The sequence below is a fragment of the Homo sapiens genome, chromosome 8 (genome assembly GCF_000001405.40).
Source record: "Homo sapiens chromosome 8, GRCh38.p14 Primary Assembly".
In the NCBI taxonomy this organism is placed as follows: domain Eukaryota; kingdom Metazoa; phylum Chordata; class Mammalia; order Primates; family Hominidae; genus Homo; species Homo sapiens.
This window is the reverse complement of record NC_000008.11, coordinates 94,880,116-94,899,286: the sequence shown is the minus strand read 5'-3', so window position 1 is coordinate 94,899,286 and position 19,171 is coordinate 94,880,116. Positions and strand designations below refer to the sequence as shown.

The window sequence follows — 19,171 nt, the reverse complement described above, 5'->3', positions numbered from 1 at the left end:
GTCAAAACTATCTTACAGTAAAATGTATTTGTTTAACAATAAAATTGTTTTTAAAACTGCATCTCACCTGATTCTAATTTAAAAAATTGGCCAGGTGCAGTGGCTCATGCCTGTAATCCCAGCACTTTGGGAGGCCGAGGCGGGCGGTTGATTTAAGGTCAGGAGTTCAAGACCAGCCTGACCAACATGGTGAAACCTTGTCTCTACTAAAATACAAAGATTTTTTTTCCTTTATGTATGTTTTAGATAAGCATGAAGGATAAGCAAGTTTCATTAAATGGGAAGAAAATGTTTTATTCCTTTCTTGTTACATGAGAAATACTATTATTAAGCACCATTCATTTTTGCTTAGCTTCAAATGAGTCTCATGACAATAAAAACGTATGAAAAATACCTTGGTGAAAGTTTTGAACAATCTGACCAACAAGATAAAGTATTATTGAATTATAATTCAAATTATAAAACGAATATCCATGAGTGCATACTGATAGGAATAAATGACTAAGTTAATGAATGGGGAAAAAGAGACAAATCTCTAATGCAGAATAAATTAAAATAATACAGATACTTCACCCTAAAAAAGATCACTCCTCACTCCTTAGGTGTGGGCTGCACACAGTGACTTCCTTCCAAAGAGCACAGTATGGAAAGGGAGGAAAAAGAGTAATTTTACAATGGAGAAACCTGACAAACATTACCTCAGCCAAGCGGTCAAGATCAACATCAACAGTAATAAATCATGATGTCGGTATGAACTCTTAGTATGATGTGATGAAAATGGTACTTTATCTCTATGATCTTCCTCCCCAAACCCATAACCCCAGTCAACTCGTCTACCGGAATTCATCTGATGTTTTTGTCGCATGGTTAGCCTACAAAATACTTGACCAGCACTCCTCAAAACTGTTAAGGTCATCAAAACAAAAGTCTGAGAAACTGCCATGGCCAAGAGGAACCTAAGACATGACATCTAAATGTGATGGGTATCCTGGACGAGATCCTAGAGCAATAAAAAGATATTAGGTAAAAACTAAAGACATAGGAATAAAGTATGGACTTTAGTTAATAATAACACATCGACATTGATTCATTAAATAGCAAACACATCATAGGGTAATAAATATGCCATACTATAAGATGTCAATAACAGGGGAAACTGTGCATGTGTGGTGGGTGGGAGAGGGGAGTGAGTATATGGAAGTCCTGTTCCACCTGCTCAATTTTTCTTTAAAACTGTTCTAAAAAATAAAGTCTATTAATGTTTTTAAAAGCCTGGTATTTATTGGGAATAATTCCACCATCCGTCTATCATCCATCATGGTAACCTAGAGACCTAAAATTCTATAATGGGATATCCTACATACAATTCAAATCAGCATTTACCCAAGTCCTACTATATATGCCTTTGAACTGCTGAATACTGGCTATAAAAAGATGAACAAAACAATTTCCGAGGTCGAGTTGGAAATAAAAGACATTTAAATAAGTAATTTTTGTCCTGTAAGATGAGCATAACTGTAGCACAGGGAAAAGGATCTGTGAAGCTTCGACAGAGGAGATATACAAAAAAAAAAAAAAAAGGCACAGAATAAAGAAATGGGTGGGCTAAGCCTGAATTTTTTTTTTTAAGCCTGTGCCTCCAAGCATCTTCTGGGGTTTTTTCCTCCTGAAAATGAATGTCGGAGCAATCAAAATAGTTACCCCAGAGAAGCATGGTAGAGGCCAACAGTTTATTTACCATGGTGTTTTAACTTTACATGTACAATAGGGGAAATATACTTTAGGTGAATTTTAAAACGGATAAGTAGGAAAAGAGCAAGCTAAAAACAAACATACCCGCCCCCTACCCTTTATTTTCTCTTTTTTTAACAGACCCACTTGTCTATTGACCAGGTATCTGTAATATGGGAGAATTCACTCTATTCCTTTCCACACAAAGACGTCTTGGAATTTTCTAATTTCTCCTTTACTATGATTGCATTCTGTTCACATAATAGTCAAGGGTATGGAAAGAACATTTATAAGAGCAGTGTCTTTTAAAATCAATTTACTAGTTAACTCAGTACTGAGCATACATTCATCATTCAAAGATGATTCCCACAAACGTTACTCGACATACTGGTTTTCAGTATATTTTATCAAATTCAACCACGAGGGCCACCAGTTCTGCTTACGATCAGGTGACCCTTGTTGGGAGACCCCTGACCCCTTTTCTTGACATCATGCTGTTAGACCTTTAAGCTAGCTATACCGCTAACTGCGTTTTGAGTGACTGCAAAAGGGAGGCAACTTCTGCCCCGCCGAGAGCCATCCTAAGCGTTAGAAATGGCAGAAAGTTTCTTGGGACTGACAAGGCATGGGCTTCTCCTGATGCTGTCACCTTGGGCAAAGCTCCTACAGGTAAATTAGGGAGAGAATTATTTTGCCGGCGTCACGAGACGAAGAATCGAAAAAGTGTGAAAAAGGACTTCGCCCGCCCCAAAGCGCCCATCCGGCGGCGGCTATTTCCCGGGCCTCAAGCGCGCTCGAGCGGCGCAGCACAAAAGGCCGGGCGGGAGCGGGGGTCGCCGGGCGCCGCCTCCCGGTGCATCTCGGGAAGGGCTCCCGCCCGCGAGGCTCCGTCTCCCCGGCGCGGCCCGCTCGCCGTCCGGCTCGCTCAGGGCCTGGGCAGACGCGGCCCGCCCGAGCTACCGCGGGTTCCGAGACGCCTTCGCACTGCTCCTCCACCCGGGGGATCTTTGTTCCCGGAGCTGTTCCCCGCCTCGCTGCTCCCGCCGCAAAACCTGTTTGCGGAATACCCGCCGCAAGTCTGACTTGACGATGTGCAGTTTTGGGGTGCGCCAGTTGTGGGGGCATTCATAGAGGCAGCGAAGGGACCCCTAAGTTTAAACACCCGGGGAAGGATAAAGGAAGAGCGTCGGGCCCCCCTCCTCCCAACAGCGCTCGGGCGCGAACGGCGCCCTCCCGCGCTGCCGGCTCGCGCGGGCTCCGCAGGGCGCGCTGGCGGCGGCGGCGGGGCGGGGCGCGGCAGGCGGGCCCGGGGCCTGCACGTGGTGGCGATCTTTCTTCCCACCCGGCCAGGTCCCCGGGGACCACCGCGCTCAGGGGGAGGAGGAATGCCGTTCCCGGGCCCCGCTCCGGAGAGGGGTTTTACCCTCTGGGATCCCGGAATTGGAGGTGGAGAAGAGAGGAAGCAAGGGAGGGCGCGGCGTGGCGCGAGCGTTTCCTGCGCGGGGACTGCGGGGTGGCAGCTGGAGGCCACTGCAGGGGCAGAGCGGCGGGTTGGGGGAGCGACCGACCCATGGGGAGGGAAACCCGGTAGGGGGAGCAGGGAGCCGGAAAGCAGGGTTGATACATACCTGGGTGGGCGGGCTGGAAATGCCTTCCCTGGGCGCGCCGCGCAAGGCCGGCGGAGCGGGCTCCGGGTGGTCGCGGACCGGGACTGGGGAGAGCAGAGCCGCACTTGGCCAGGCGCGTGGCTGAGTGGTGTTTACATTCTGCAGCCACTCCACGTTGTGCTGCCGCCCGTGCCTCCCATTGGCCAGCTCTTCAGCCAACGCTTTGCTCCTCCCCGAGGGGCGGGCCCTCGGGTCCCCGCGTCGCTCAGGAAAGACCTGGGTTCCCTGAGGCCTTGGCGGGACAGCTAGGGCGCGCCCCTGGACGGTCACTTCCCAGCCACCCTATGGTCGCCCGAGTCGTGTCCCCCTGTTATGCGCCCGGGCTGAGCCGCAGGCTGACACCCCCGAAATCCAGGAGTTGCAGTGGGAGGAAGCAAAAGCAAACTGGCGGGAGATGCGCGAGCCAGGCGGCGGGGAGAACAGCCGCGGAGAAGGAGCCCCTGAGAGTTTCCCTACCGCCGCCGGCCGCGCCGTGGAGCGCGGTGGACGCGGGCAGAAGGCCCGGTAGAGTGGACCCCACGGCCGCTCCGGGTGGCGGGCGCGCACTGAGAGCAGGGCGCGGCGCGCGGGCACGCGGGCGGACGGGCGGGAGAGGGGAGCGCGCTGTCCGGAGGTGTCAGTCTGAGGCGCATGCGTGCGGGGCGGGACCGGCCCGGCCTATATATTGGGTTGGCGCCGGCGCCAGCTGAGCCGAGCGGTAGCTGGTCTGGCGGTGAGGAGTTGCTGCGCGTAGGGGGGATGTGGGAGGAAAGAAAGCCCAGTTGGGCCGATCACTTACCACAGGCGGGAGCCTCAGGGAGGAAAATCGGGAGGGCTGAGAACTAGACGACTGGGGGTCATGGGTTCCCGCGTTCCGTCCCTGTCAGGAACCTTGGCAGGGGACCGGGAAGCGGCTGGGCATGGAGAGCCGCCCCTCATTCTAGGGGCTTCTCTATCCCACCCTCATTTGGGGAGCTATCCCGTGGGAGAGAGGATGGGAGGCCGGGTCCCCTCCATGGGGAGAAAAGTTCCCAGCCAGCCCAGTCTCCCCTTTCTTTAGCTCCTTTTCCTGCCCTCCCCCACGCCCTCCGCTTCCCATCTGGAGTTGGGGTCCCGGCGCCCCTCCGAGCGGCGGTAGGGCGGCAGGGCCGGGAAGGAGGGAAAGGAGACTGGAGGCCGTGACACCAGTCTTGGTTCCTCCGCCCCCTGCTTCCCCGCCACCGCCGCTCTCCAAATTGGCGCGGAACCGGCTTCTCCACAGCATTTCGCCTCCACAACCCCCTCTCCCCGCTGGTCCAGGAGGGAGGCGGGACGTGGGGGCGCTGCCCAAGCCCCACTCCCGGTGTACGGGGGAGAGGGTGGAGGACCCAGAAAAACCCGTTTGAGGAAGATGTGCCTCCCTGCGCGTTCAAGGTGTCAGGAGTGCTTGGTAAATTTTTGGACACTCGCGTTCCAGCTGTACATTCAGTTGAGGAAATGCAGGCTTGTATCCAAAATGAATTACCATGAGCTAGCTAACATAGCACAGAAGATGGCAGGGTCACAGGGCCCAGGCCCCCTTCGGAGGGACTGAGCTTTCACCTGCGAATCAGCGTCTTACTGGCACTTGGAGAATGTGAATGACAATGTACTTGACTGCGGCTTTTCCTCTCCCCCCTTCAGAGGTTTTATACACCTGAAAGAAGAGAATGTCAAGACGAAGGTAACATTATCTGTCTTAGAGACATGTTTCAAATTAGTTGCTGCCTTTAACTTACTAATTACACTTCCTTTTTAAAAATTCACTACAGTAGCCGTTTACAAGCTAAGCAGCAGCCCCAGCCCAGCCAGACGGAATCCCCCCAAGAAGCCCAGATAATCCAGGCCAAGAAGAGGAAAACTACCCAGGTGATTTAAGGAGAAAGAGGGAGGAACGAAATTCCATGCTGGGACTTTAGTTTACCAATGGTCTTTTCTATTTTCCAGGATGTCAAAAAAAGAAGAGAGGAGGTCACCAAGAAACATCAGTATGAAATTAGGGTAATGCAGAACTGGGCTGGGTGGGTTTGGGGGAAAAATGGAGGATAGATGAATAAGAATAGAATTATGTGTTTATTGCTTTGCGATAGATTCCTCTGACACTTTTACTTTTAATGCCCCTAGAGGTCAGCAGGAAGGCGCCTATCTTTGGGTGGTTTCTATGTGCCCGAATCCTACTACAGCTGCAGAATAAGTGCCTTCAAGCAGCTGGTTCCTTTTTGTAAATCCCTCCCTCTTGGAACTGCCTGGTGCACCAGGGCCCGCCTAATCTGTCCAATATACTGCTCTTTGTTCCCTCGCAGACTCTAGTAGACGGTCCTAATAGCTGCTTCTTGGGCATAAATAGGATGTGAGATCACTGACAGCCTGGCACGCAGCCCTTTGGTACCTCTTCTTCCTATGTGTTTTACAGAAAGCAGCACTTTGGAGATAGTGATTGCGTTTGAAACCAGCATTATTGGGAAAAGAATCGTTTAAGTAATCGATTCCATTTTTAAGGTTTTGCTTTCAAATATTCAAAAGTATCAGAGCACACTTTTTTTAAAAAGAGCTTATTTGAAAAAAAAAAAAAAAGGTCCCTGCTACTATTGCTAGATACAGAGAACGATTCTGTGATCTTGAAAGTGATTAGTATTTTAGACTGCAGATGCATTTTGTTATTACTGTCCTTCTTCGACACCTGGTGTCTTCTATTACCAGAATTGCATTTTGTTGTCTAAAACATCCTATTACTCTTTATAAAAATCAATATGAGCTATATGGCTTGTTTATAAAATGTGAATGTCAAATTAGCTATATTGCCATCTATGTTAGCTAAAATTATGATTCTTTAGACATATTAGCTTTCATTTATGAAAGATCCATTACAAAAACTAAGGTTTTCCTTGCACAAATTGATATTTTTCTTTTTTTTTATGACAGAATTGTTGGCCACCTGTATTATCTGGGGGGATCAGTCCTTGCATTATCATTGAAACACCTCACAAAGAAATAGGAACAAGTGATTTCTCCAGATTTACAAATTACAGATTTAAAAATCTTTTTATTAATCCTTCACCTTTGCCTGATTTAAGGTAAGAAAAATTTCAGTAATTTTATTTCAAAGATATAAAGTTGTGCTGATTTAATACATGGCACTATTTTGTCTTTTGCTTTCATAAAGTAGAAAAACGTGTAAAAATTGTTTACTAATATTTAATCATATGTCATTTTATCTGAGAGTAGTGCTGGTTGCAAATGATATGGGTATTTAAAACACTGATTCTATAAAATTATTTTCATTTGCTTGCTGAGTACTATAAAGACTTAACAGGACTGAATTAGTTTTTTGTTAAGATAGAAACATTTTTACATGTACAGCTTTTTCCTTTAAAATTTTTATTCGTGTTTCTTGCAGCTTCAACTCAAAGGAAGCTTTTCCAATTGATGTATCAACCCTATTTATTTCTTACCAAACTTAATAAGGTCTATACTTAATTCTTTTTTCTAGTCCATGAGTGTAACTAAGAGGTACAGCTTATACAAAACATGTACTGTATTAATTTATGATTGGCCTTAATAAGCAATTTAATGGAATCAGACACTTAAACTCACCAATCCCCCTTTCCCTGCATTCTGTCCCACCTTACCCACCCCATAGGTGATCCTGCTGTAGATGATCTATTTAGAGGTGATTGAGACTTCTCTTGACTGTGATCACATGCCTTATGTGTTTAACTTTTTTGTATTGCTCTTGAGAAAACATTTTTTTTCACTTTTAATTGCATTTATTTTAGTGCTGAATTTACTCCTGTGCCATAAGTTTTTGTTTCTTCAGTTTCTTCTGGGATATCTTTTTCTTCTGGGCAACCGCCTCTTCTGGTTTAGGAACAATTTGTTCCTTTTCACTAAAGATCATTTCGATGTGGCAGGGAGAGATCACGTGTGAGTTAATCCGACCATGAGCTCTGTAGGTCCGTTGGCACATCGTAGGTGCTTTGTTCACTTGGAGATGCTCAATGACCAGAGAATCTACATCTAAACTCTTAAGTTCAGCATTACTCTCTGCATTTTTAAGCATGTGCAGCAAAAATTCAGCACTCTTTTTGGGCCACCAACCTTGTGTCCAGTCCCACTGCTTGGCCTGGGTACACCTACCAACTCCACCATTGTAATGTCAGAATGGCACATGCTGTTTCTGTAAAGTGACATTTTAAAAATACTTCATGGTGTTTTTTTTTTTTTTTTTTTTTGGAGACAGAGGTTTGCTGTTGTTGCCCAGGCTGGAGTGCAGTGGCACGATCTCGGCTCACTGCAACCTCCACCTCCTGGGTGCAAGTGATTCTCCTGCCTCAGCCTCCTGAGTAGCTGGGATTACAAGCATGCCACCACGCCCAGCTAATTTTTTGTATTTTTAGTGGAGACGGGGTTTCACCATGTTGGCCAGGCTGGTCTCGAACTCCTGACCTTAAGTGATCCACCCACCTTGGCCTCCCAAAGTGCAGGGATTACAGGTGTGAGCCACTGTGCCGGCCACTTTGTGGTTTTTCATATATGCATACCCTTGATAGCCTGGGCAGTTTCACGAGTGTTCTTACAGTGAACACAAAGATTTGAACCTCTTGATTTGCATGATTTTGTGGGGTTTTCCAGGTAAAGTGAATAGCCAGCTATTTTCACAGATTACTTCAGACCACTTATGGGAAAAGCAACGTGGTTATCTTTTAACAGCAACCTTTGTAAAGTATAAATAAGTGGAACTAGAAAGCACTCCCTTGAAATCTGCAGGTTTGGATGATCATAGTCCAGGTTCCCACTGTGTTACTTCAGGCTTCTATTTATTCATGCAAAGGAAATTGTTTCCAAAAATTAAGGCAGAAGTTTTTTTTCTTATTTACTTTAAGAGCTTCTTCCAAGTTCTAATTAAAAGTTGCATTTCAATGTCTGAAAGTTGAATTTTATCTATGTGAAACAGAGTTTGTATATTACATGGATTGCACAATTTAAATTATGTTTTTTAGCCGGGCATGGTGGGTCACGCCTGTAATCCCAGCACTTTGAGAGGCTGAGGCAGGTCGATCACTTGAGGCCAGGAGTTCGAGACTAGCCCAGCCAACATGGTGAAACCCCATCTCTACTAAAAATACAAAAACTAGCCAGGCTTGGTGGCAGGCACCTGTAACTCCCAGCTACTTGGGAGGCTGAGGCACAAGAATCGCTTGAACCCAGGAGGTGGAGATTACAGTGAGCCAAGATTGTGCCGCTGCACTCTAGCCTGGGCCACAGAGCGAGACTCTGTCTCAAAAAAAAAAAAAAAAAAATATATATATATATATATGGTTTTTTTCCTCTCTTTCCATAGCTGGGGATGTTCAAAAGAAGTCTGGCTAAACATGTTAAAAAAGGAGAGCAGATATGTTCATGACAAACATTTTGAAGTTCTGCATTCTGACTTGGAACCACAGATGAGGTCCATACTTCTAGACTGGCTTTTAGAGGTATGTTACAGCAATACAAATTTCCTTTGTCTCTGTATGATGGAAACATATTTAGCTGTAAATGTGCTTTCTATGTACTCTCAAGAGTTTATTGTTCATCCCCAGGAAGCTGTCTTTTTTGAGGTACTTACTGTAGTTGATTGCACCCAAAGTGGAAAGTGACTCTATAAGAGTAAAACCATGACAAAGCTACTACATATAACTAAACCCAATTCAGAATTCCTGTTACCTGTGGATACTGCTGTGTACCAACCACTTTCTGGGTGCCACAGATACTCAAGGTGAATGGAATGTATAGTTGATTAGGTTTTGAATTATGCTATACAAAGTGAAGAACTAGAACTAGGCTTCAGGGCCCTCTGAAGTCTTTTTCTGTATTAACAAAATCATGATGATGAGGAATCCTGATTTCTATATCCTAAACCATAATGAGACTATGGATATCTGGAAGCTCTACGCCCTCTATTGTCCAGATACCTTCTCTTTATTATATTCTTCTATTCTTTTCCGAAATATACCATTAATTTAAAGGAATAGTGATCCTGAAGCCCCTATAGATTTGTGCCAGATTTTTCTCTCTTGTTTAGGTCCATTCCCTTTCCTCTGGATAATAGCTCTAAAAAAGTTTCTAAAATTATTATTAAGGAAATCATTACTTATGTTGATGACAAACTGATTTTTCCTCCAACTCTTGGATATTTGCTCTGTAGTCTGTCTTTAAGACAAGAGATGAAGCATTCTAAGGGAAAAAGACCATAGACTTTTTGGAGGAGGAACACATGGCAGAATAGATCTCAGAAGCTATCAGAACAGTTTTTAAGACTAAAATGTTATCCTTTTGCATCAGGTCATCTTTTTCCTTATTCTGACTAGAAGGAAAGATTGTATTTTAATTGTGGGCACAAGAAGGCATTGGGTTTTGACTTTTTCTGACTGTCTAGTGATCATGGAATCAACTTAAGCACAATTATGTTAATTTTTAATTTGTTTCCTTTTTGTTATACTGATATTCATCCAGTGGTTATCCAATTCAATTTGTTCCTGTTTTTACCTAAATATGATTATGTATGCAACAGCATACAGAATATATCAAATCCAGCAGTGTTAAACTCTATCTTAGTGTATTCTTCAGTCTAGGAATGCAAACTTGATTCAACATTTGAAAATCTATTAATTTATTACCTTAACAGTAAATAAGAAAAATGCTAAGATCTCAATAGATGCAAAAGACATTTTTTGAAATTCGACATTCTTTTTTTTTTTTTTGAGACGGAGCCTCGCTGTTGTCACCCAGGCCAGAATGGAATGGCACGATCTCAGCTCACTGCAACCTCTGCATCTCGCGTTCAAGCGACTCTCTTGTCTCAGCCACCCACATAGCTGGGATTACAGGCGCAGGCCACCACACCTGCTATATTTTGTATTTTTAATAGAGATGCGGTTTCACCCTATTGGCCAAGCTGGTCTTGAACTCCTGACCTCAAGTGATCCGCCCGCCTTGGCCTCCCAAAGTGCTGGGATTACAGATGTGAGCCACCGCACTCGGCCAGCAAAAGAGATTTTCTTAACTCATTATTAGAAACTCATGTGGCCAGGTGTGATGGCTCATACCTGTAATGCCAGCACTTTGGGAGACTGAGGCAGGCAGATCAGTTGAAGCCAGGAGTTTGAGACCAGCCTGGCCAACATGGCAAAATCCCATCTCTACTAAAAATACAAAAAATTAGCTGGGCATGGTGGCACACACCTGTAATCTCAGCTACTCAGGAGGCTGAGGTAGGAGAATCGCCTGAACCTGGGAGGCAGAGGTTGCAGTGAGCCACTGCACTCCAGCCTGGGTGACAAAGTGAGACCCTGTCAAAAAAAAAAAAAACTCTGGTATATATCTCTATTTCCTCACCTCCAAAATGGGGATAATGGTACCTACTTACGGAGTTACTGTGAGAATTAAAATCTTTCCCTAAAAGTGTAGAAATGACAGATACTATTTATTATTAATAACAATAGTGAAACATCAGGGCAATTCCTATTAAAGTCAGAAACAAGGGATAAGATTTTGTTTATCACCAATGTTAACCATTCAGTATCCTTTGATAATTTTTAACAGTGCAGTAAAATATGAAAAATAAATGAGGTAAGAAAAACTATAAAACTAGTAAATGTGCATAGTAATAGATTTGTTTATCCTAATAGTACATCTTAGTTTCTTTTTTTCCTTTCCTATCTTAGCTTTGCTATCAGTTTGGCTTAAACATATTTTAAAGTCTGATATGCTAAGAGATGACTTTCTAATTTGGAGAAATTCAGAAGATAATATTTAAATGTTTGGATTCTTCTCTAGGTATGTGAAGTATACACACTTCATAGGGAAACATTTTATCTTGCACAAGACTTTTTTGATAGATTTATGTTGACACAAAAGGATATAAATAAAAATATGCTTCAACTCATTGGAATTACCTCATTATTCATTGCTTCCAAACTTGAGGTAAGTTCTTAAAAGTTTATCCTTAGATATATTTATCCCAAACTTTTTTTTAAATCAACATATTAATCCCAAAGAATACTATGTTTTATATTAACTCCTTAGAAAAGTGAATGTTTTTGTTTCTCAGTACATTTTCTGAACATTACCACAGGGATGAATGATAAATTATCATAGTTCCCTCTGTAATGTCTGAGCCTTATTACAAATCTCTAGTTTAGATTCTGGGATTAGTATCTAAGTGAAATGTCCCATGGCTCATTCTGCCAAACGAAACATATTGATGCTCTATTTATATACATAATTATAGCATTTGTATTCAACAGAATGACCTTTGAAAACTAAACAGCTAATAAAATGAAATGAAATGCATACTGTGTTGGGTTAGAATAATGGTTTATCCAGCCTTTTTTTTTTCTTTTTTCGAGACGAAGTCTCACTCTTTTGCCCAGGCTGGAGTGCAATGGCGCGATCTTGGCTCTCTGCAACCTCCGCCTCCCAGGTTCAAGCGATTCTTCTGCCTAAGCCTCCCGAGTAGCTGGGATTACAGGTGCTTGCCACCACGCCCAGCTGATTTTTGTATTTTTAGTAGAGATGGGGTTTCACCATGTTGGCCAGGCTGGTCTTGAACTCCTGACTCAGGCGATCCACCCACCTCGGCCTCCCAGCGTGCTGGGACTACAGGCATGAGCCACCGCACCCGGCCAGCCTAATATTTTTGTATCTGATGGTGCAGCCCTGATAGAAGGCACCTCCTTTCTTAAGATTTTCCTTCACATAAGCTCAATTTACTTTTCTTAATACATGATGGATATCATCAATACTTTCATCTAAGACTTTTATAGCTGGTATCATTTTGAGAGAAGAGGGATTGTGATCATATATTAATTTTTTAAGTGTTTTCCTTTTTCTTTTAAATGTCTTTTGAGCTTTAAGAGCCATCCCCAAATTCTGCTGAATTTGGCACATAAACTTGTGTTCAGTCTATCCTTACTTGAAATTATACTGTTTTAGACAACTTTCTAGACTGAAATCCTGATCTTTTAGCCTGTTCTCCTATGTGGGAGACACCTAATCCTTTGATGATTCTAATTCTTCTCAGGAGTGCTAAAACAGACCTGTTAGCCAAACTGCATGAAGTATTTTTTGATTAACTGTATTTTTGTACTAGGGTAAAGGAAATGTTTTTAGTTTCTAGACCTTATTTGTTGGGTGCTTTGCTTTTGTTTTTTGAGACAGGGTCTTGCTGTCACACAGGCTGGATGCAGTGGCACTATTGCAGCTCAGTACAGCCTCGACCTCCGAGGCTACAGTGATCCTCCCACCTCAGCCTCTGGAATAGCTGAGACTACAGGGATCCACCACCATGCCTGGCTATTTTTTCTTGTAGGGACAGCGTTTCTCTTTGTTGCTCACGCTGGTCTTAAACTCCTGGGCTCAGGTGATCCTCCTACCTCGACCTCCCAAAGTGCTGGGCTTATAGGTGTGAGCTGCTGCACTGCACCCGGCAGGGTGTCTCCTTTTGATCTGACTAACCATATCAGGCAATCTTAAAGCAAGTTTGGCTGTTCTTTAACTGAAATGACATATTCTAGTTGTATTAATGAAAATTCAAAGTCAATTCTATGAAAAGAAGTCTTGATAATCAATATAGTTACTAGATACCTAGATATGAAAATATCTTCCTTTGTTTTGACTTTAGAATTATTTTACTGAGATTTATAGTTAGTGAAGCTGTCCTTAAATCTGAAGCCTGTGTGTGATTTGTATATAGATGGTCCCCTACTTACCACGGTTTGACCTACGATGTTTTGACTTTATGATGGTTGAAAACAACCTGCATTCATTATGCCCCTTGACGTACAACAGGGCTATGTCTGCTTAGGTTGAAAATACTGTTAAGTTGAAAGTGCACTTTCTGGCCAGGTGCAGTGGTTAATCCCAGCACTTTGGGAGGCCAAGGCAGGCAAATCATTTGCAGTCAGGAGTTTGAGACCAATCTGGCCTACATGGTGAAACCCTCTCTCTCCTGAAAATGCAAAAAATAGCCGGGCACAGTGGCACACACCTGTAACCCCAGCTACTGGGGAGGCTGAGACCCAAGAATCACTTGAGCCTGGAAGGTGGAAGTTGCAGTGAGCCAAGATTGCACCACTGCACTCCAGCCTGAGACTCTGCCTCAAAAAAAAAAAAAAAAAAAAAGAAAGAAAATGTACTTTTTGTCTTTGCTTATTTCTCCAAGAAAATGAAAATGCACTTTCTACTTAAATGATATTTTGGTTTATTGGGATGTAACCCCATTGTAGACTGAGGAACATTTGTAATTAATTTCTATCTCAATTGTACTCAATAAAAATATTACAATTTAAAGGAAATCTATGCTCCTAAACTCCAAGAGTTTGCTTACGTCACTGATGGTGCTTGCAGTGAAGAGGATATCTTAAGGATGGAACTCATTATATTAAAGGTAATAATAATTATGTTTTCCTAGTTGCAAAAAAGAAACCATGTTACTAAGTAACATAAGTAGTTATAATTGAATCTCAAATACTACAATGTAAAAAGTCAAAACTGAGGTATTAGGATCCAGTTCTAAGAGGTTAATGCATCAAAATATTGACAATGGTTATGGTTGGATGGGGAATGTACTTAACCTCTAAGCTCTGCTGTATAATGTGGTGTATGTGTCTACATTCATTAACAGGCATTTTTAAATTTTGTTTAATAGGCTTTAAAATGGGAACTTTGTCCTGTAACAATCATCTCCTGGCTAAATCTCTTTCTCCAAGTTGATGCTCTTAAAGATGCTCCTAAAGTTCTTCTACCTCAGTATTCTCAGGAAACATTCATTCAAATAGCTCAGGTACTGACATTTTTATTGATTCAATGGTAATGTTATTAATTACAGGTTTTAGTGTATATATAGTCTTAAATAGGCTATACCACAAAATGACATATTGACTTCACTCCTTAATTCTAGAACAAAACTTTTGACGCATAAAGTTCTGTCCCCAGTGTTTATGTTGCTTAATATTTCTAGAAAAACAAAGTCCTTACACTTTTCTGAGTACTTTCATTCTTTAGGAGTCCAAACTAAAGTATCTCTTTTTGATATAAAATGGGGAAAAGCATTTTTTTCGCCAGTTGTGTTTAAGCTTTATAATGGCATAGAATTATTCTGTATGATGTCTTTACATTTGGATACACAGAGTGCCTATCAAGTTAAATATCAGAATTAAAATTACTTTGTTAAAAAAATTTTTTAGAACATAAATTCAAAGTAAACTTTTCCAGGCTAGCATATTTAACAAAGTAAGTAAGTAGAGGAGGAGGAGGATCTGGCCGGGCACTGTGGCTCAGGTCTCTAATCTCAGCACTTTGGGCGGCTGAGGCAGGCAGGCAGATCACTTGAGGTCAGGAGTTTGGGCGGCTGAGGCAGCCTAGCCAACATGTTACTTGGGAGGCTGAGGCAGGAGAATCGCTGGAACCTGGGAGGTGGAGGTTGCAGTGAGCCGAGATCGCACTACTGCACTCCAGCCTGAGCAACAGAGCAAGACTCCATCTCAAAAAATTAAAAAAAAAAAAAAAGAGGAGATCCCATTCTTTCTTGCTTACTTCTCGTAAGTAATCTTAAGGCTGCTGTATCTGCCATATAACAAAAGTGAAGAAAATCTACCCTCTTATTCTATGTGGGATGTGAAAATCTAACATATGGAAGACATTTGGGGATAATTATTAAGTCACCTAGGTTAAAATTTGTGGGCAGTGGTGCTTAAATCTAGCACATTATGAATACTCAAATTGGATAACCACTAAGTATACTGAAATTGGTTTATTTTATAAAACTTTTTATTAAAAGCTTAATTTTTTCATCCAGAATTCCTAGCATCCCAAATTGTCCTAGGCAGCTATACCCTTCTGATAGTGATGGTAAATCTTTGATAAGCCGATAAACAATGTGGACTTTCTAGAGGTATATAACAGTAATATTTCACTTCCAATTCCCAGCTCTTCTCCCATTTCTCCTACCTTCTGGACCAATGAGGACAAACAGAATTGAAGTTTAATTCCACTGCACAAGTATCTTCTCAAATCTGTGAAATCTACCCCTTTTACACTATACCATTCCACTGCTACTAGTTCAGCTCTTATTGCCTAGATTATACAGCCTTTTAACTAATCTCACTGCTTAATAAACATGTTTTCTTCTAGTCTGTCTGCTTCACTGCATTCTAAGGTATCTTTCTTAAAATGGAACTTTGATTTAAAAATCTTCCAGTAGCTTCAAGAATCAGCCTATAAAATTCTGACTTCTTAAAGACCCTTTGTGATCCAATCTAGACCATGCCTCTTTCTAGCCACCACCCCTCATCTTTCTTGATAAGAAATGAAGGTACTCCTTATTTATTTTTCACCTTAGGAGTTCTGAACTGTGAACTGAGTTCCAAGTAATGTCCCTATACCTAGAACATTCTCTGCCTCCTACTCTTCCTGGCTCCCTTATCTTTTAAGACCCATTTATGGCAATTTGAGGCCATCACTATCTTTTCCAATCTGGATTAGGTGCCCTTCCTGCTAGTACATGTCACACTGTATTGCAACAGTCCTTCCTTGTCTACTTCCTTCAGGTTGGTGGCTTGTTTTTTTTTTTTTTGAGACGGAGTCTCGCTCTTTCGCCCAGGCTGGAGTGCAGTGGCGCGATCTCTGCTCACTGCAAGCTCTGCATCCCGGGTTCACGCCATTCTCCTGCCTCAGCCTCCCGAGTAGCTGGGACTACAGGCGCGTGCCACCAAGCCCAGCTAATTTTTTGTATTTTTTAGTAGAGGCGGGGTTTCACCGTGTTAGCCAGGATGGTCTCGATCTCGTGACCTTGTGATCCACCCGCCTCGGCCTCCCAAAGTGCTGGGATTACAGGCGTGAGCCACCGCGCCTGGCCGGGTGGTGGCTTATTTATCTCTAGATCCCTAAGGTTTTAGCAAGAGACATTTAGTACTCATCTTTCTCCTAAATTGCTTGTACTTTTGTTTTTCCTGTTAGCTTTTAGATCTGTGTATTCTAGCCATTGATTCATTAGAGTTCCAGTACAGAATACTGACTGCTGCTGCCTTGTGCCATTTTACCTCCATTGAAGTGGTTAAGAAAGCCTCAGGTAAGACTCTCTATTTGTTGTCTTCTTACCTTTTCACAACTTCTAATGGGACTACAGTCTCTGAACTTTAACATTCTGCTAAACATGCATTTAAAACTTTGGCAAAAAAAAAATTAGCTGTTCAGTAATTATCTTTCTGTTAGAAGTACTTTCCAATCCTGAATGTGTATCAACAAAAAGACCAAATGGAATTTAAATACAGTTGAAATGAATCAACATTATAGTTCTGCTTTAAGAGTTCTTTGGGATTTGACCATTTCAATTTCATATGTAGAAGGTACTGGTTAAGAAGTTCTGAAGTCCTTTTTCCCTTCAACATAGTCATGTAAATAGTTTGAGAGTGATAATCTGTTTTGACATGCTAAACTTCTTGGTTATGATTTGGTTTCTTTTAAAATATCTCAAAAACAGCAACAAGTACATCAGACATATGTAAGATAGTTTCTGATGTACAACCTTCATGCTTTTCTAACTTTTTTCTATCTATCTAGGTTTGGAGTGGGACAGTATTTCAGAATGTGTAGATTGGATGGTACCTTTTGTCAATGTAGTAAAAAGTACTAGTCCAGTGAAGCTGAAGACTTTTAAGAAGATTCCTATGGAAGACAGACATAATATCCAGACACATACAAACTATTTGGCTATGCTGGTATGTTTTTTTGTGAGTTTTTTGGCTTTGCTATCTGAATCTAGTAAGTCACCAAAACTGATGGTAGGAATAGAGTACTCCTTCAGGCAGTTTCAGGGGAAAGAAAGTTCTAAGGGGCACACTGATTTCAAAATGTAGAAAAGTTAATAAAATTACTTTGAAATCAAAGCAAGATTTGTGAAGTGTCTCAAGATCAATGCCAACAGTCTAGATAAAGAGTTTAAAAAATATATAACGTTACAGAAACTTTCAGAATATGACCCTTCACACTTGCAAAGACATAAAAAGACTATTAAAATTAGGCCTAAATAATCTCAAATAAGTACCCAGAAGTCTGGTTTGACTTTGATTTATGAAATCAGTGCATGATTTCTTCCCATGTATAGGAGGAAGTAAATTACATAAACACCTTCAGAAAAGGGGGACAGTTGTCACCAGTGTGCAATGGAGGCATTATGACACCACCGAAGAGCACTGAAAAACCACCAGGAAAACACTAAAGAAGATAACTAAGCAAACAAGTTGGAATTCACCAAGATTGGGTAGAACTGGTATCACTGAACTACTAAAGTTTTACAGAAAGTAGTGCTGTGATTGATTGCCCTAGCCAATTCACAAGTTACACTGCCATTCTGATTTTAAAACTTACAATTGGCACTAAAGAATACATTTAATTATTTCCTATGTTAGCTGTTAAAGAAACAGCAGGACTTGTTTACAAAGATGTCTTCATTCCCAAGGTTACTGGATAGAAGCCAACCACAGTCTATACCATAGCAATGTTTTTCCTTTAATCCAGTGTTACTGTGTTTATCTTGATAAACTAGGAATTTTGTCACTGGAGTTTTGGACTGGATAAGTGCTACCTTAAAGGGTATACTAAGTGATACAGTACTTTGAATCTAGTTGTTAGATTCTCAAAATTCCTACACTCTTGACTAGTGCAATTTGGTTCTTGAAAATTAAATTTAAACTTGTTTACAAAGGTTTAGTTTTGTAATAAGGTGACTAATTTATCTATAGCTGCTATAGCAAGCTATTATAAAACTTGAATTTCTACAAATGGTGAAATTTAATGTTTTTTAAACTAGTTTATTTGCCTTGCCATAACACATTTTTTAACTAATAAGGCTTAGATGAACATGGTGTTCAACCTGTGCTCTAAACAGTGGGAGTACCAAAGAAATTATAAACAAGATAAATGCTGTGGCTCCTTCCTAACTGGGGCTTTCTTGACATGTAGGTTGCTTGGTAATAACCTTTTTGTATATCACAATTTGGGTGAAAAACTTAAGTACCCTTTCAAACTATTTATATGAGGAAGTCACTTTACTACTCTAAGATATCCCTAAGGAATTTTTTTTTTTAATTTAGTGTGACTAAGGCTTTATTTATGTTTGTGAAACTGTTAAGGTCCTTTCTAAATTCCTCCATTGTGAGATAAGGACAGTGTCAAAGTGATAAAGCTTAACACTTGACCTAAACTTCTATTTTCTTAAGGAAGAAGAGTATTAAATATATACTGACTCCTAGAAATCTATTTATTAAAAAAAGACATGAAAACTTGCTGTACATAGGCTAGCTATTTCTAAATATTTTAAATTAGCTTTTCTAAAAAAAAAATCCAGCCTCATAAAGTAGATTAGAAAACTAGATTGCTAGTTTATTTTGTTATCAGATATGTGAATCTCTTCTCCCTTTGAAGAAACTATACATTTATTGTTACGGTATGAAGTCTTCTGTATAGTTTGTTTTTAAACTAATATTTGTTTCAGTATTTTGTCTGAAAAGAAAACACCACTAATTGTGTACATATGTATTATATAAACTTAACCTTTTAATACTGTTTATTTTTAGCCCATTGTTTAAAAAATAAAAGTTAAAAAAATTTAACTGCTTAAAAGTAAAGTTTTGCCATTGCTTGGAGAAACTTTTTTTTCCTTCTCTGCGCTGCCAGCTGTAACACTTCTTCTGGATTGCTTGCATTCAACTCTGTCTGGCCGATGGCTTTGATCT

At 41.5% G+C, this 19,171-nt stretch overlaps 3 protein-coding genes and 1 pseudogene across 21 annotated transcripts in view, besides 6 other annotated features; 1 reads left to right on the top strand and 3 right to left on the bottom strand.

Moving 5' to 3' along the window:
* NDUFAF6 (NADH:ubiquinone oxidoreductase complex assembly factor 6) overlaps positions 1-3,488 on the bottom strand; it is a 222,698-nt gene extending 219,210 nt beyond the window's left edge. For all 11 annotated transcript variants that reach the window (NR_148905.2, NR_148906.2, NR_148904.2 and 8 more), the window contains exon 1: positions 3,360-3,488. The gene's annotated coding sequence lies outside the window, so the exon portion shown is untranslated. The remainder of the gene's footprint in view (positions 1-3,359) is intronic.
* Positions 2,497-2,716: a silencer, noted in NCBI's record as "silent region_19374". NCBI's record gives its function as "represses an Ori minimal core promoter by ATAC-STARR-seq in GM12878 lymphoblastoid cells {active_cell/tissue: GM12878}" and the evidence as "EXISTENCE:reporter gene assay evidence [ECO:0000049][PMID:35858748]".
* On the top strand, positions 2,594-19,063 carry CCNE2 (cyclin E2). Of its 5 annotated transcripts, none has more exons than XM_017013958.2 (12): positions 2,594-2,835; positions 5,040-5,079; positions 5,168-5,264; positions 5,343-5,396; positions 6,318-6,469; positions 8,737-8,872; positions 11,214-11,360; positions 13,729-13,824; positions 14,086-14,220; positions 16,395-16,506; positions 16,998-17,155; positions 17,542-19,063. In XM_017013958.2, exons 2-12 carry the CDS (start codon positions 5,066-5,068, stop codon positions 17,653-17,655), a joined length of 1,215 nt encoding a protein of 404 aa, XP_016869447.1. In that variant the 5' UTR covers positions 2,594-2,835; positions 5,040-5,065; the 3' UTR covers positions 17,656-19,063. The 5 variants fall into 5 exon arrangements, with proteins under 5 accessions (XP_016869447.1, XP_047278367.1, XP_016869448.1 ...); XM_047422411.1 differs by lacking the exon at positions 2,594-2,835 and adding an exon at positions 3,053-3,177; XM_017013959.2 differs by lacking the exon at positions 2,594-2,835 and adding an exon at positions 3,667-3,902.
* Positions 2,997-3,046: a silencer, noted in NCBI's record as "silent region_19373". NCBI's record gives its function as "represses an Ori minimal core promoter by ATAC-STARR-seq in GM12878 lymphoblastoid cells {active_cell/tissue: GM12878}" and the evidence as "EXISTENCE:reporter gene assay evidence [ECO:0000049][PMID:35858748]".
* Positions 3,217-3,266: a silencer, noted in NCBI's record as "silent region_19372". NCBI's record gives its function as "represses an Ori minimal core promoter by ATAC-STARR-seq in GM12878 lymphoblastoid cells {active_cell/tissue: GM12878}" and the evidence as "EXISTENCE:reporter gene assay evidence [ECO:0000049][PMID:35858748]".
* Positions 3,397-3,496: a silencer, noted in NCBI's record as "silent region_19371". NCBI's record gives its function as "represses an Ori minimal core promoter by ATAC-STARR-seq in GM12878 lymphoblastoid cells {active_cell/tissue: GM12878}" and the evidence as "EXISTENCE:reporter gene assay evidence [ECO:0000049][PMID:35858748]".
* Positions 3,877-4,096: a silencer, noted in NCBI's record as "silent region_19370". NCBI's record gives its function as "represses an Ori minimal core promoter by ATAC-STARR-seq in GM12878 lymphoblastoid cells {active_cell/tissue: GM12878}" and the evidence as "EXISTENCE:reporter gene assay evidence [ECO:0000049][PMID:35858748]".
* Positions 4,713-5,274: an enhancer, noted in NCBI's record as "NANOG-H3K4me1 hESC enhancer chr8:95906241-95906802 (GRCh37/hg19 assembly coordinates)". NCBI's record gives its function as "activates a minimal SCP1, AML or CMV promoter by ChIP-STARR-seq in primed H9 embryonic stem cells {active_cell/tissue: H9 hESC(primed)}" and the evidence as "EXISTENCE:reporter gene assay evidence [ECO:0000049][PMID:30033119]".
* Positions 7,141-8,066, bottom strand: LOC100128548 (ribosomal protein L17 pseudogene; annotated as a pseudogene).
* The window catches only part of INTS8 (integrator complex subunit 8), a 58,460-nt gene continuing 56,829 nt past the window's right edge, over positions 17,541-19,171 (bottom strand). For all 5 annotated transcript variants that reach the window (NR_073444.2, NR_073445.2, NM_017864.4 and 2 more), the window contains one exon: positions 17,541-19,169. Coding sequence is in view for 3 of the 5 variants with exons in the window: in NM_017864.4 (NP_060334.2) it covers positions 19,053-19,169 (117 nt within the window). In the remaining 2 variants the exon portion in view is untranslated. The remainder of the gene's footprint in view (positions 19,170-19,171) is intronic.